Genomic DNA, 13,726 nt, shown 5'->3' on the forward strand with positions numbered 1-13,726 from the left:
CATCCAGCTTTGTTCCATTGCTGGTGAGGAGCTGCATTCCTTTGGAGGAGGAAAGGCACTCTGATTTTTAGAGTTTCCAGTTTTTCTGCTCTGGGTATCAGCAGCAGTGGCTGCAGAACAGTGGATATTGGTGAACCACAGATGCTGCTGCCTAATCGTTCCTCTGGAAGTTTTGTCTCAGAGGAGTACCTGGCCATGTGAGGTGTCAGTCCGCCCCCTACTGGGGGGTGCCTCCCAGTTAGGCTACTTGGGGGTCAGGGACCCACTTGAGGAGGCAGTCTGCCCGTTCTCAGATCTGAAGCTGCGTGCTGGGAGAACCACTACTCTCTTCAAAGCTGTCAGAGAGGGACATTTAAGTCTGCAGAGGTTATTGCTGTCTTTTTGTCTGTGCCCTGCCCCCAGAGGTGGAGCCTACAGAGGCAGGCAGGCCTCCTTGAGCTGTGGTGGGCTCCACCCAGTTTGAGCTTCCCGGCCGCTTTGTTTACCTAATCAAACAACTAACTCGGCAATGGCAGGCGCCCCTCCCCCAGCCTCGCTGCCGCCTTGCAGTTTGATCTCGGACTGCTGTGCTAGCAATGAGTGAGACTCTGTGGGCGTAGGATCCTCCCAGCCAGGTGCGGGATATAATCCCCTGGTGTGCCGTTTTTTAAGCCAGTTGGAAAAGCGCAATATTAGGGTGGGAGTGAACCGATTCTAGGTGCTGTCTGTCACCGCTTTCTTTGACTAAGAAAGGGAATTCCCTGACCCCTTGCGCTTCCCAGGTGAGGTGATGCCTCGCCCTGCATCGGCTCATGCACGGTGAACTGCACCCACTGTCCTGCACCTACTGTCTGGCACTCCCCAGTGAGATGAACCTGGTAACTCAGTTGGAAATGCATAAATACCCGTCTTCTGCGTCACTCATGCTGGGAGCTGTAGATCGGAGCTGTTCCTATTCGGCCATCTTGTGCAACCCTCTTTTCTTATTCTTGAACTGTTGAATAAGCTACCAGCATTTTAAATAAGTTCAGGATTATGTTGCCAGGAAATAGTCTTTGATATCTGTGACAATTTTGTTGTTGCTGTTTGTTTTTTCTTTCTTTTTTTTTTTTTATGGGGAAAAGCATGAAGTTGTCTTTCTCATTGCCTTTCTCATCATGTTTTAAGTACAGAGTTCTTCTGAAGGGCACACTTTGTGGTTCTCATGGAATGTAAATAGCTCAAATGGCTCCACTTCCAAGAAACCTTCTTTAACCTTAAGGCTGAATGAAGTAAGCGCTTTCTCCTGTTCTCTAGTGTATTCCCAGCAAAACTTTGAGCATACTTTAAAAATGAATTTATTGCACATACTTCCATATCCAGGGAGAGCTCTGATTCCTCCTCTCATACACTCCAAGAGGAAGGGTCAAGGAAGTATTGAACTCAGGAACTTTTTTTAGGGTGGTGGTGTTGGTGAGAATCTCAATATGAAGAAGGAAGATTTCATGTACGTCCGTGTGAAGAGACCACCAAACAGGATTTGTGTGAGCAACATGGCTGTTTGTTTCACCTGGGTGCAGGCGGGCTGAGTCCGAAAAGAGAGTGAGCGAAGGGAGATGGGGTGGGGCCGTTTTATAAGATTTGGGCAGGTAAAGGAAAATTACAGTCAAAGGGGGTTTGTCCTCTGGCGGGCAGGAGTGGGGGTCGCAGGGTGCTCAGTGGGGGAGCTTTTTGAGCCAGGATGAGCCAGGAAAAGGACTTTCACAAGGTAATGTCATCACTTAAGGCAAGGACCGGCCATTTTCACTTCTTTTGTGGTGGAATGTCATCATTTAAGGTGGGGCAGGGCATTTTCACTTCTTTTGTGATTCTTCAGTTACTTCAGGCCATCTGGGCGTATACATGCAAGTCACAGGGGATGCAATGGCTTGGCTTGGGCTCAGAGGCCTGACATTCCTGCCTTCTTATATTAATAAGAAAAATAAAACAAAATAGTGTTGAAGTATTGGGGCGGTAAAAATTTTTGGGGGGTGGTATGGAGAGAGAGAATGGGCGATGTTTCTCAGGGCTGCTTTGAGCGGGATTAGGGGCGGCGTGGGAACCTGGGGTGGGAGAGATTAAGCTGAAGGAAGATTTTGTGGTAAGGGGTGATATTGTGGGGTTGTTAGAAGAAACATTTGTTGTGTAGAATGATTGGTGATGGCCTGGATACGGTTTTATATGAATTGAAAAACTAAATGGAATAAGAGAAAGAGAAAAACAGGTATAAAAGGTCTAAGAATTGGGAGGACCCAGGACATCTGATTGGAGAGTGCCTAAGGAGGTTCAGCATAGTCCTGCCAGCAAAGATTATTTATTTACCTCAAGAGTTTAGAGTGGCGGTTTGGGGATAGCACCAGGAGATATCAGCTGTGATGGCTTGGAGAAACAGTGTAAACTGGCAGTGTAAACAAGAGCAGGGCATGTATGAGTAGTTGAGAACGGTGAATAGGAGTATGACTAGACAGAAGATAGTAGGGATGACAAGTTTTTTGGGGCACAGTCTAAGTTGGTCTGGTGTCTGGAATGAGACTGGGGCCTAATAAAAAGGAGCGTCTATACAGGAGCTTAACTGGGCTGTACCTTGTAGCATTCCGAGGACAGGCCTGAATTCTGAGAAGCGAAAGTGGTTAAAGTATTGTCCAGTCCTTTTTAAGCTGGTGGCTGAGCTTGGTGAGGTGTGTTTTTAAAAGACCATTAGTCTGTTCTACTTTTCCTGAAGACTGAGGACTGTAAGGGATATAAAGGTTTCACTGAATACTAAGAGCCTGAAAAACTGCTTGGCTGATTTGACTAATAAAGGCTGGTCTGTTATCAGACTGTATAGAGGTGGGAAGGCTAAAATGAGGAATTATGTCTGACAGAAGGGAAGAAATGACTGTGGTGGCCTTCTCAGACCCTGTAGGAAAGGCCTCTACTTATCTAGTGAAAGTGTCTACTTAGACTAAGAGGTATTTTAGTTATCTGACTCGGGGCATGTTGAGTAAAGCTAATTTGCCAGTCCTGGATGGGGGCAAATCTTCAAGCTTGATGTGTAGGGAAGGGAGGGGGCCTGAATAATCCCTGAGGAGTAGTAGAATAGCAGATGGAACACTGAGAAGTTATTTCCTTGAGGATAGATTTCCATGATGGAAAGGCAATGAGAGGTTCTAAGAGGCGGGCTAGTGGCTTGTACTATAGCATAGCCTGCCTTTGCTGGTGTGTGGCGATTAGGCCTGGTGGAACTGCCATCAATAAATCAAGCGTGATCAGGGTGAGGAACAGGAAAGAAGGAAATATGGGGAAATGGGGTGAATGTCAGGTGGATCAGAGAGATACAGTCATGGGGGTCAGGTGTGGTATCAGGAATAATGTGGGAGGCCAGATTGAGGTCCGGGCCAAGAACAATGTTAATTGTGGGACTTAACAAAGAGTGAGTACAGCTGAAGGAGCTGGGGAGCAGAAAGTATATGCGTCAGGTATGAGGAAGAAAATAGATTTTGGAAGTTATGAGAAATGTGGAGAGTGAGTTGAGTATAGTTTGTGATTTTTAGGGCCTTTAAAAGTATTAAAGCAGTGGCAGCCACTGCACGCAGACATGAGGGCTAGGCTAAAACAGTAAGGTCAAGTTGTTTGGACAGAAAGGTTACAGGGTGTGGTCCTGGCTCTTGTGTAAGAATTCTGACTGCACTAACCATGCCTAGGAAGGAAAGGAGTTGTTGTTTTGTAAGGGATTGAGGTTTGGGAGATTAATTGGACACGATCAGCAGGGAAAGCATGTGTGTTTTTATGAGAATTATGCCGAGATAGGTAACAGATGAGGATGAAATTTGGGCCTCACTGAAGTAATGGGGGCTGTCTGTGAAGCCTTGTGGCAGTACAGCCCAGGTAATTTGCTGAGCTTGATGGGTGTCAGGGTAGTCTAAGTGAAAGCAAAGAGAGGCTGGGATGAAGGGTGCAAAGGAATAGTAAAGAAAGCATGTTTGAGATCCAGAACAGAATAATGGGTAGTAGAGGGAGGTATTGAGGATAGGAGAGTATATGGGTTTGGCACCACGAGGTGGATAGACAAAACAATTTGGTTGATAAGGCACAGATTCTGAACTAACTTGTAAGCCTTGTCTGGTTTTAGGACAGGTAAAATGGGGGAATTGTAAGGAGAGTTTATAGGCTTTAAAAGGCCATGCCGTAGCAGGCGAGTGATAACAGGCTTTAATCCTTTTAAAGCGTGCTGTGGGATGGGATCTTGGCTTTGAGCAGGGTGAGGGTGATTAGGTTTTAATGAGATGGTAAGGGGTGCATGATGGGTCACCAAGGAGGGAGTAGAGGTGTCTTATACTTGTGGGTTAAGGTCGGGGGGATAAAAGAGGACACAAAGGAGGCTTTGGGTTGGGGAGAAGGGTGGCAATGAGATGCAGCTGTAGTCCAGGAACAGTCAGGGAAGCAGATAATTTAGTTAAAGTGTCTCAGCCTAATAAGGGAACTGGGCAGGTGGGGATAATTAAAAAGGAGTGCTTAAAAGAGTGTTGTCTAAGTTGGCACGAGAGTTGGGGAGTTTTAAGAGGTTTAGAAGCCTGGCTGTCAATACGCACAACAGTTATGGAGGCAAGGGAAAGAGACCCTTGAAAAGAAGGTAATGTGGAGTGGGTAGCCTCCATATTGATTAAGAAGGGGATGGGCTTACCTTCCACTGTGAGAGTTACCTAAAGCTTGGCATCCGTGATGGTCTACAGGGCTTCTGAGGTGATCGGGCAGCATCAGTCTTCAGCCGCTAAGCCGAGAAGGAGTCAGAGAGCCTTGGGCCAGAGTTCCAGGGGCTCTGGGAGTGGCTGCCAGGTGAGTTGAACAGTCCGATTTCCAGTGGGGTCCTACACAGATGGGACGCGGCTTAGGAGGAATCCTGGGCTGAGGGCATTCCTTGGCCTGGTGGCCAGATTTCTGGCACTTGTAGCAAGCTCCTGGGGGAGGAGGTTCTGGAGGAACGCCTGGCCAGTGCGGTTCAGGCGTTTGGAAATTCTTGTGTGCTGGAGATGTGGCTGGGGTTTGTCTCACAGTGGAGGCAAGGAATTGCAACTTTTTTCTATTATTGTACACCTTGAAGGTGAGGTTAATTAAGTCCTGTTGTGGGGTTTGAGGGCCAGATTCTAATTTTTGGAGTTTTATTTAATGTTGGGAGCAGATTGGGTAATAAAATGTATATTGAGAATAAGATGGCCTTTTGACCTTTTAGGGTCTAGGGCTGTAAAGCGTCTCAGGGTTGCTGCCGAACGAGCCATGAACTGGGCTGGGTTTTTCATATTTGATGAAAAAGCCTAAATGCTCAGTGATTTGGGAGAGGTCTGATAAAGAAAAGTAGCATTAACCTTGACTATGCCTTTAGCTCCAGCCACCTTTTTAAGAGTAAATTGCTGGGCAGGTGGGGGAGGGCTAGTCACGAAACGTAACTGTAAGCCGGACCAGTTGTGAGGATGGGAGGTGATAAAAGGATTATAGGGTGGAGGAGCAGAGGCTGAGGAAGAATTGGGACCTAGCTCAGCCTGGCGAGGAGGGGAGAGGTCAGACGGGTCTGTAGAAAAGGAAGATTAGAAAGACTCAGTGATGCTTGGGGTTGGGACTGAGGGGACAGGCAGGAGGTAAAGAAGGAAGATTTGGGATGAGTTGCATTGGGCACAGAGACTAGGAAGGGACTGATGTGTAAAAGAATGCCTGGACGTCAGGCACCTCAGACCATTTGTCTATTTTATGACAAGAATTATTTAGATCTTGCAGGATGGAAAAATTGAAAGTGCTGTTTTCCGGCTATTTGGAACTACTGTCGAGTTTGTATTGGGGTCAAGCGGCATTGCAGAAGAAAATAAGACGCTTAGATTTTAGGTCAGGTGAGAGTTGAAGAGGTTTTAAGTTCTTAAGAACACAGGCTAAGGGACAAGAAGGAGGAATGGAGGGTGGAAGGTTGCCCATAGTGAAGGAGGCAAGCCCAGAGAAAAGAGAGCATAGAGACATGGAGGGAAGGGGTTCAAGTGTTCTTACCCTCCAGAAAAGCGGGAAAGGGGTCGGGGCGTGGAAATAAGGGATTGGGGGTTCTTGTCCCCTAGAAAAGCGGGACTTGCCGCTAAGGGTGAAGGAGAAGGGGTTGAGGGGTAGTGAGGGAAGTTGGAGAAGAGAGTAAAAAGAGGCCACTTACCGGATTTGAAATTGGTGAGACGTTTCTTGGGCTGGTCGGTCTGAGGACTTGAGGTCGTAGGTGGATCTTTCTCACGGAGCAAAGAGCAGGAGGACAGGGGATTGATCTCCCAAGGGAGGTTCCCTGACCCGAGTCATGGCACCAAATTTCATGCGCGTCCATGTGAAGAGACCACCAAACAGGCTTTGTGTGAGCAACATGGCTGTTTATTTCACCTGGGTGCAGGCGGGCTGAGTCCGAAAAGAGAGTCAGCAAAGGGAGATAGGGGTGGGGCCATTTTATAAGATTTGGGCAGGTAAAGGAAAATTACAGTCAGAGGGGGTTTGTTCTCTGGCGGGCAGGAGTGGGGGTAGCAAGGTGCTCAGTGGGGGAGTTTTTGAGCCAGGATGAGCCAGAAAAAGGACTTTCACAAGGTAATGTCATCACTTAAGTCAAGGACCGGCCATTTACACTTCTTTTTTGGTGGAATGTCATCAGTTAAGGTGGGGCAGGGCATTTTCACTTCTTTTGTGATTCTTCAGTTACTTCAGGCCATCTGGGCGGTATATGTGCAAGTCACAGGGGATGCAGTGGCTTGGCTTGGGCTCAGAGGCCCTGACATAAGGTAAAAGAATTGCTTCAGTTTTTGTGGCCTCTGGTCTATGTTTGGGCTTATTGTTTTAGGTTCTTTCCTCATTCATTCATTCATTCATTCATTCGTTTCAACAAATTTTTCTGGAAGGCTTACTTTGTGTCAAGTATTGTCTAGGCCCTGGGAATAGCATAGAGATAATTCAGACAGTGCTCCATGTCCCTATCTTATATTTCAGTAGACTGTCTCTCTTAGGCCTAGATGGTACAATGAGATTACCTTGGGCTTGCCTACCTCTTGGGAGGGGTTCCTTTTTCCTAAGGAGGCCAACTGGGAAGCAGAATGGGTCTTTAAAAAACTAGGTATCATCCATATTAATGCTTCCACAGTCTACCTAGTTAAAGAGCTTATAGCTTAAAAGCTGTCTGTCCCAGCCTACCTTTGCTTTGTGAAGCAAATATGAAGCAACTGCCATGTGCATGGCAGTCAGTATTGAACTTGATTGACATGAAGTCATCAAGACCATGTGTCATGAAGACTATGCGTACCTCCAGCCTCATCTCTGATAACATCTCCCCTGGGAGCCCAAAGTTCTCTGGATTCCCAGGAGGAGGCTGATTGATAAGTCCTCTTCTCGAGTCCCACCATCGCCCTCTTTCTAAGTCATTTTAAAAGCAAAACTAGGCAGGGCACAGTGGCTCACGCCTCTTATCCCAGCACTTCGTGAGGCTGAGGCAGGTGGATCTCTTGAGCCCAAGAGTTCTAGAGCAGCCTGGACAACGTAGTGAGACCTTGTGTCTACAAAAAAAAAAATAAATAAAATTAGCTGGACATGGTGGTTTGTGCCCCTGGTCCCAGCTACTCAGGAGGCTGAGGTGGGAGGATTGCTTGAGCCCAGGAGTTCAAGGCTGCAGTGAGCCATGATTGCACCCTGGTACACAAAACTACCCATTACTACATTGTTGCAATGATTTTCTCAATTTCTTGTGTCCCTACATAAATTCTGGTGGGCAGAGACCATGTTGTCTTTACTCTGGTACCCTGGCAAAAGTACCTTGTATTCTAGCAAAGCTCCTTGTTCTTACTCTTGTGGAAAAAATGAATCTGGAGATACATTCAGGGGGAAACGGAATGATGCTGAAACTATTCTCTTCTGCAGTTCAAATGGCTCTTTTTGTTCTTAACTATGTATCACTTTTGGACTTAGGAAAGTATATGGATATATTGTGAACAGATGAATCAATGTTGACGCATTTCTTTTACTCAAGGTACTCTACTAGATCTGTGAACTACCAAGCAGTAAATTGTCCTGCACTTAGTGCTCAGGGTATATGGTAAGGGAGATAAGACACATATGAACGACCATGATAAAGGATCAGAAATCCTGAGAGTCAATAAAATGCTTCAAAAATTCCGAGGAGGCGAAATGTCCTTAAGATTATTCATATGTTTATTTTTGTTTTTTTTTCCCCCATCACAATAGAGGCTACTGATTTACTTATGGGAATGGGGAAAGGTGAGATTCCAGGATTTGGAGTTGTTTGTTAAGAGGCACGTGTGTCCTAATCTTCATGATTACGAAAATGTTGGTCAGATTCAGGGGACATACCACGGGGTGAGAGTCAAAGGGCAAATCCAGGGCCTTATTTTTCTCTCTCTTCCACATCTCACCGGATCTCGTCTCACCTGCCATACTCAGCTGGGAAGTTGTTAGAACTCAGAACACTCCAAAGGGAACATAAGGTCTTAACTTGTTTTCTGTTATCTCGTCCCCCACCTTATTCTCAACCTGAAAAGAACCTATTTTTTATTCCCCAAGTTTTAGGATGCCTGCATTTTGTGTTGTTTTTGTGTACATTTTCATTCTGACTTCAGTTGCTTAATTCTAGCATTTGATCTGTGTTCTGTATAGTGTCCTCCATTATTCTCAAGCTTGTCTTGATAATAGAGTTTCTCTGATTCATACAAATTTTCATTTATACCGCATGTTAGATAATTGCCTTGAGTTTCATCCTCTAGAAATTGTCTCTGGCTAAAGCTATACCAGGTTAGAAAAATCTGGCTATATGACATTTAATAAAATATAAACACCATGGTGATCATTGTTTACTTGTGAGATCCCAGGTTTCAGAGGTTCTGAGAGGGCTGCAGCTGCCTTAGCAATTGGATAAAGGCTATTTTGAAAACAGTGTCATCACATGCCAGCCTAGTAATCAATGCCAAGTTTGGGACCACTAACAGAGCATGGCTGTCTTCTTACCACTGCCTTTTAACTTAGCCAAAGGATGGCAGGTGGATTCTCTAGGCATTTATAATTTTTTAACTAAAAAGCAATAGGAAAAGAGAAAACTTATTGGCTCACCAGAGGCCATAATAAACATTCAGAAACAGCTCATCTGCCTATGGAGTTCATTTAAGACAGAACCGCAGGAAGGGCTGTAACCCATGTTCATTGGAAGTTATGACTCGGCACATTTTTCCTGCACAGTCTTGTGCGTCAACTTCTGCTCATTTTTTTCAGGGTCAGTGTTCAAAATGACATTTGGAAGATATGCCTGACTTCTGCCTGGCTTTCAACAAATCTGGAATCTTTTGCTTGCAGGCCCATAGCAAATGCTGGCAACATTTTTTGCAAACATGGGCCAAATTTTAGCTTCCTTATAAAATGTAAAGTCAGAGCTGGCTTTGAGTTTTGCTCTAACATTTCACACAAAACTAACTTGCAGTTCTTCCACATGGATTCAGCATCTAGGGCAGACGGCCTACTACTGTAAAATGCATATGGTGTAAGGATAGTGGTAGGGGAGGGGATAGAGTTTGTTCCTATGTGGGAAACAGGAAGGTTTTGGGATTTGTGGCAAGAAAGAGTTAGATTTTAAAAATTACCCCAGCAACAGCAGTTTTATCTAAATAGTTTCAGTATTAGCAAGGGAAAATGGCAGTGAACCGACATTTTATGGATTGATTAGTGCTAGGTATTGTGCGTGACATATATAATCTTATTCAATCATTACAGTAATCCATGAGAGTATCCATTTTTCCTTTTAACTAGAGAAATAACTCATTTACCTCTGGACTCTAAAAATCACCTCTTTTCCTCTGCAATACATCAGATGTGTGTGCACGTGTATTTATCAACCAAAGGATACTTTTTTGGTGAGGAGTCGGAAATACTCTCCAGTTAGAGGCAGACTCAACTTGATTATGTTTCCAGTTCTTGAGCAGGGCTGCCGCACACAGTTGTGCAGGTTGCTTACTGCATGAGGCTTCCTGGCCAGGGGACAGGCCAGGGCTGTAACCCAACCCCCCCTCTACTCACTAAGCTGCACACTTTGGTTCCAGACTATGTCCACAGGAAGAAGGGGCACCTTTTTCTAATTTCCTCCAGTATGTTAGCAGTGACTGCTGATGCAAACAACAAGTTAGCCACCTAGGAAAGAGGCTAGGTAACTTCCCTTTCATCCTGGCATCCTGGGGTATTCCTCTTTTCATTTTTCCCCTTCTCTACCATGCATCCTGGGGCTGTCCGTTGGAACTCCATTTATCCTGACTGCTGATCGCACTCTGGACTAGACTGGGCAGGGGGCTGAAGTGGAAAGTATACACCTGCCTTCCCCTCTCCCTCTCTCTACTATGCACTAGGCTTGGAGACTGGGCACTGATGCGGTACCCCTTGCTCCTTTCTAGGCATTGCTCTGTATAAACTGCTTAGATGCATATTCAGGTTTGTCTTCTCTTATACCCTTTTCTCCAACACTGCATGAGTAGTTAGGAAAGTATACGTATTTTAAATCCCCAGAATTTCAAACTTTAGAAAATAGCATAAAGGAAAATTTGACTGAAGTGTTATTCTTCAATTCTTAAGCAAGTATGTTTAGCTGCATAGATAAATGAGTTAAGAAAAAAACACAAAGAGGGAAAGATTGTTGTAAATTAATTAACAAATGTTTATTGAGCATCTTGCTTTATTCTATTTTTTTTTTTTTGGACAGAGTCTTGCTCTGTTGCCCAGGCTGGAGTGCAGTGGTGTGACCTTGGCTTACTGCAATCTCCACCTCCTGGGCTCAAGCGATTCTCCTGCCTCAGCCTCCCGAGTAGCTGGGATTACAGGTGCCCACCACCACAACCAGCTAATTTTTATATTTTTAGTAGAGACAGGGTTTCACCATGTTGGCCAGGTTGGTCTCCAACTTCTTACCTCAAGTGATCTACCCACCTTGGCCTCCCAAAGTGCTGGGATTACAGGCCTGAGCCAAGGCACCTGGCCCAGCATCTGCTTGCTTCTTAAAATGCATTAAATGCAGGAACAGATATAAAAATTAAGACACAAGAATGGATTTAGTTTAAAAAGATGTGAAAACCAGTAGTGTAATATAACTCGTATATAATCTAAGTGTTGGAAATAGGGACCCCAAGACTCAGATTTGTTCCCCAACTCTGACTCTTAATGTCCCCTACCATCTTAGCAAGTTGGTTGACCACTGGCTTTCATTTTCCTTGTCTGTGAGTCCACTCTCCGTAATACCTTCCTCCAAGGATATTGTGTGCCTGGAATGAGATAATGGATGTGAAATACTTTAAAATGTGTGAGGCTCTTTATACATTTAAGGTTTAATTGTCCTTACAAAGAAAGATGAAAAGATCATTGAGAGTATCTTTAAAACACATACATTTTCCGTTTTAAATAACACATACCTTGAAAAATGTGGAGAGAATAAAGTGTACATTAAAAGAGAAAGCACAAAAATCTACTTATAAGACCCTAGAGATAATTATGGTTAATATTTTGATATATAATTTTGCAGTCTTTTATAAATTTAAATTAGTTCATCACAACTCAGATACTACTGTTTATATATTTTTAAAGCCAGTTTATCACTCAACTTCATATCAATTTAATGATTTACGGTACATGCACAACTATCTTCTGGGCTCTCAGTAAATATCAGCTTTAGAAATAGTCCAGAGATTTTTGCCTAGTAGCATGTCATAATCTGATTTTCATTAGATTTATACACAAAATAAAGACGTCTCTATAGAGTCATTAATATATAAGCTTAAAATATAGTAATTTTCTTCTTATCAACTCCGTGCTTTCAAATTGTATCCTGTATCAGGAGTTGAGTAACTCAAATAATCTCCAGTAAGATATTCAAATAAGAATATCCTAAGTGGAATGTTAATATAGGCAAATGTTAAAAACTCTGGCTGCTTTCCAGTACCGTTGTCTCTTATTAAGTGGTTGATTTGCTCACGAGAGAATGTAAGCAAAGTGTTAAATACACAGGGGGAGTTCTAAAGTATCCAGACAGTGTAGGGGTTGCAGAAAAAATGATTACTTGGAAATTTAACTCTGTTGCACCTTGGGACTTTTCTTTGTATCACTGCTTTTCTTATTTCAAGCCACACTGGGAGTTTCAAATCATATACACTTAAAAAAAATGAAAAAAACCCTCAATTTACCACGGACATTGGTAAATACACATTGCCCCCTTTGGGCCTTTTAATATGTATCATTTGCCTCATCTTGCTTGGTTAGTCACACTAGTATGCTTATGATTATATAAATTGTCTTAGGTGACATGATTCTCTCTTTCTTAATCATGATTAAATGTAAAATGGCAGAAACATTCGTTTTGGGCAAATTTCTCATTTTAAATGAGTTCTATTTAGAAACAAAACAAATGAAATGGTGGCAATATCAATTACAAGGATGATAAGGCTTTATCTGATCACATCTTCAAGGTTTTATGCCTTTTCCTTCGTGTCCTGTCCTTCCCTCCTCCACTCCCCACTCCTGTTTCTCTGTATGTCAGGTTTCAACAAGGGGAAAAACAAAAACTTTGCAAGGATATTTCGAGGGTGAGAAAATGTTACGATGGACCTGCATTTCTTTATTAATGGTGAGTTGCATAACAAATGCCATGGGGTTGGGGTTGGTAGGTTTTACTGTGTCTGTTAAATATTAACAGTACTTGTACTTTCTGAGGTATTGTTGAATTGCCTGGATACCGCTCAGCCAATCACAAAGAAACAGGTTTCCATGGAAGCATGCTCACGGATTCATTTCATTCACAATGAAATTCACACAGCAAGACAGATCTGTAAAAATAACCCATGAAAAATCGAAGCAAAATATTTCTGGGTGTTTGTTCTATGCCATTTAGTGTGTATGTCTGTTTTCCATTTAAAAAATAATCTAAAAATATCTGGGCCTTCAGGAGAGCTTCCAAAAAAGCTGGAGCTCTTACCTCTGCCTTGCTGTTGGTTGCTATTCTTTTGGGTGTGTATACCTGTGTGCTTGACGTGCCCAACCCCCTTCCTTGTTTGCACTCTTGAACACAACATTTTATACCTAATTTTAAAATGAAAACCAGAATCCTCTGAATGTGTGGAGAGCATAGACTACTTTAAAATGCATTTATATACTACTAATCAATCAGAAGGAAAATAATCAATGATTTTTGATTTTCCTCTATGAAAGGATTTAATAACTCTCTAAATTAGATACTATTATTACCTGTACTTAATAGTTGAAAACAGAAGCTGAGAGAGGTCAAGTAACTTCTTCAAGATTGCACAGCTAATAGGTGGCAGAACTATGTTTCCAGGTTAGATTTGTCTAATGGTGGATGCTGTAATCCCAAATTACTATGCTATGTTTTTATTTTCATGAAGTAGAGCATCAGTATTATCTGTTACTGGAGTCAAAACATATCTATCTCTGGACCTAACTATCTATCTCTCCATGTATTTAATTTCCAGCCAGAAATACATATATGCACACACAAATATACACTACATATATATATGCACACACAATACATATATATACATATATACACATATATTGTTAATGGATCTATATGTATATATGTGTGAGCATACATACATACACACACACACACACACACACACACACACTAAACGATGCTTACTCCTTTTGTCATTGCTCTCATAATAAGTCTTGTGTTTACAGCTCTAACATGGCATTT

General features: G+C 43.1%; 1 long non-coding RNA gene across 1 annotated transcript in view, besides 1 other annotated feature; it reads left to right on the plus strand.

Annotated features, from left to right (window-relative positions):
• LINC00578 (long intergenic non-protein coding RNA 578) overlaps window positions 1–13,726 on the plus strand; it is a 310,784-nt gene that overhangs the window by 222,452 nt on the left and 74,606 nt on the right. The window lies entirely within an intron of this gene.
• Window positions 1,502–2,040: an enhancer, noted in NCBI's record as "NANOG hESC enhancer chr3:177383662-177384200 (GRCh37/hg19 assembly coordinates)". NCBI's record gives its function as "activates a minimal SCP1, AML or CMV promoter by ChIP-STARR-seq in naive H9 embryonic stem cells {active_cell/tissue: H9 hESC(naive)}" and the evidence as "EXISTENCE:reporter gene assay evidence [ECO:0000049][PMID:30033119]".

The sequence above is a fragment of the Homo sapiens genome, chromosome 3 (genome assembly GCF_000001405.40).
Source record: "Homo sapiens chromosome 3, GRCh38.p14 Primary Assembly".
In the NCBI taxonomy this organism is placed as follows: domain Eukaryota; kingdom Metazoa; phylum Chordata; class Mammalia; order Primates; family Hominidae; genus Homo; species Homo sapiens.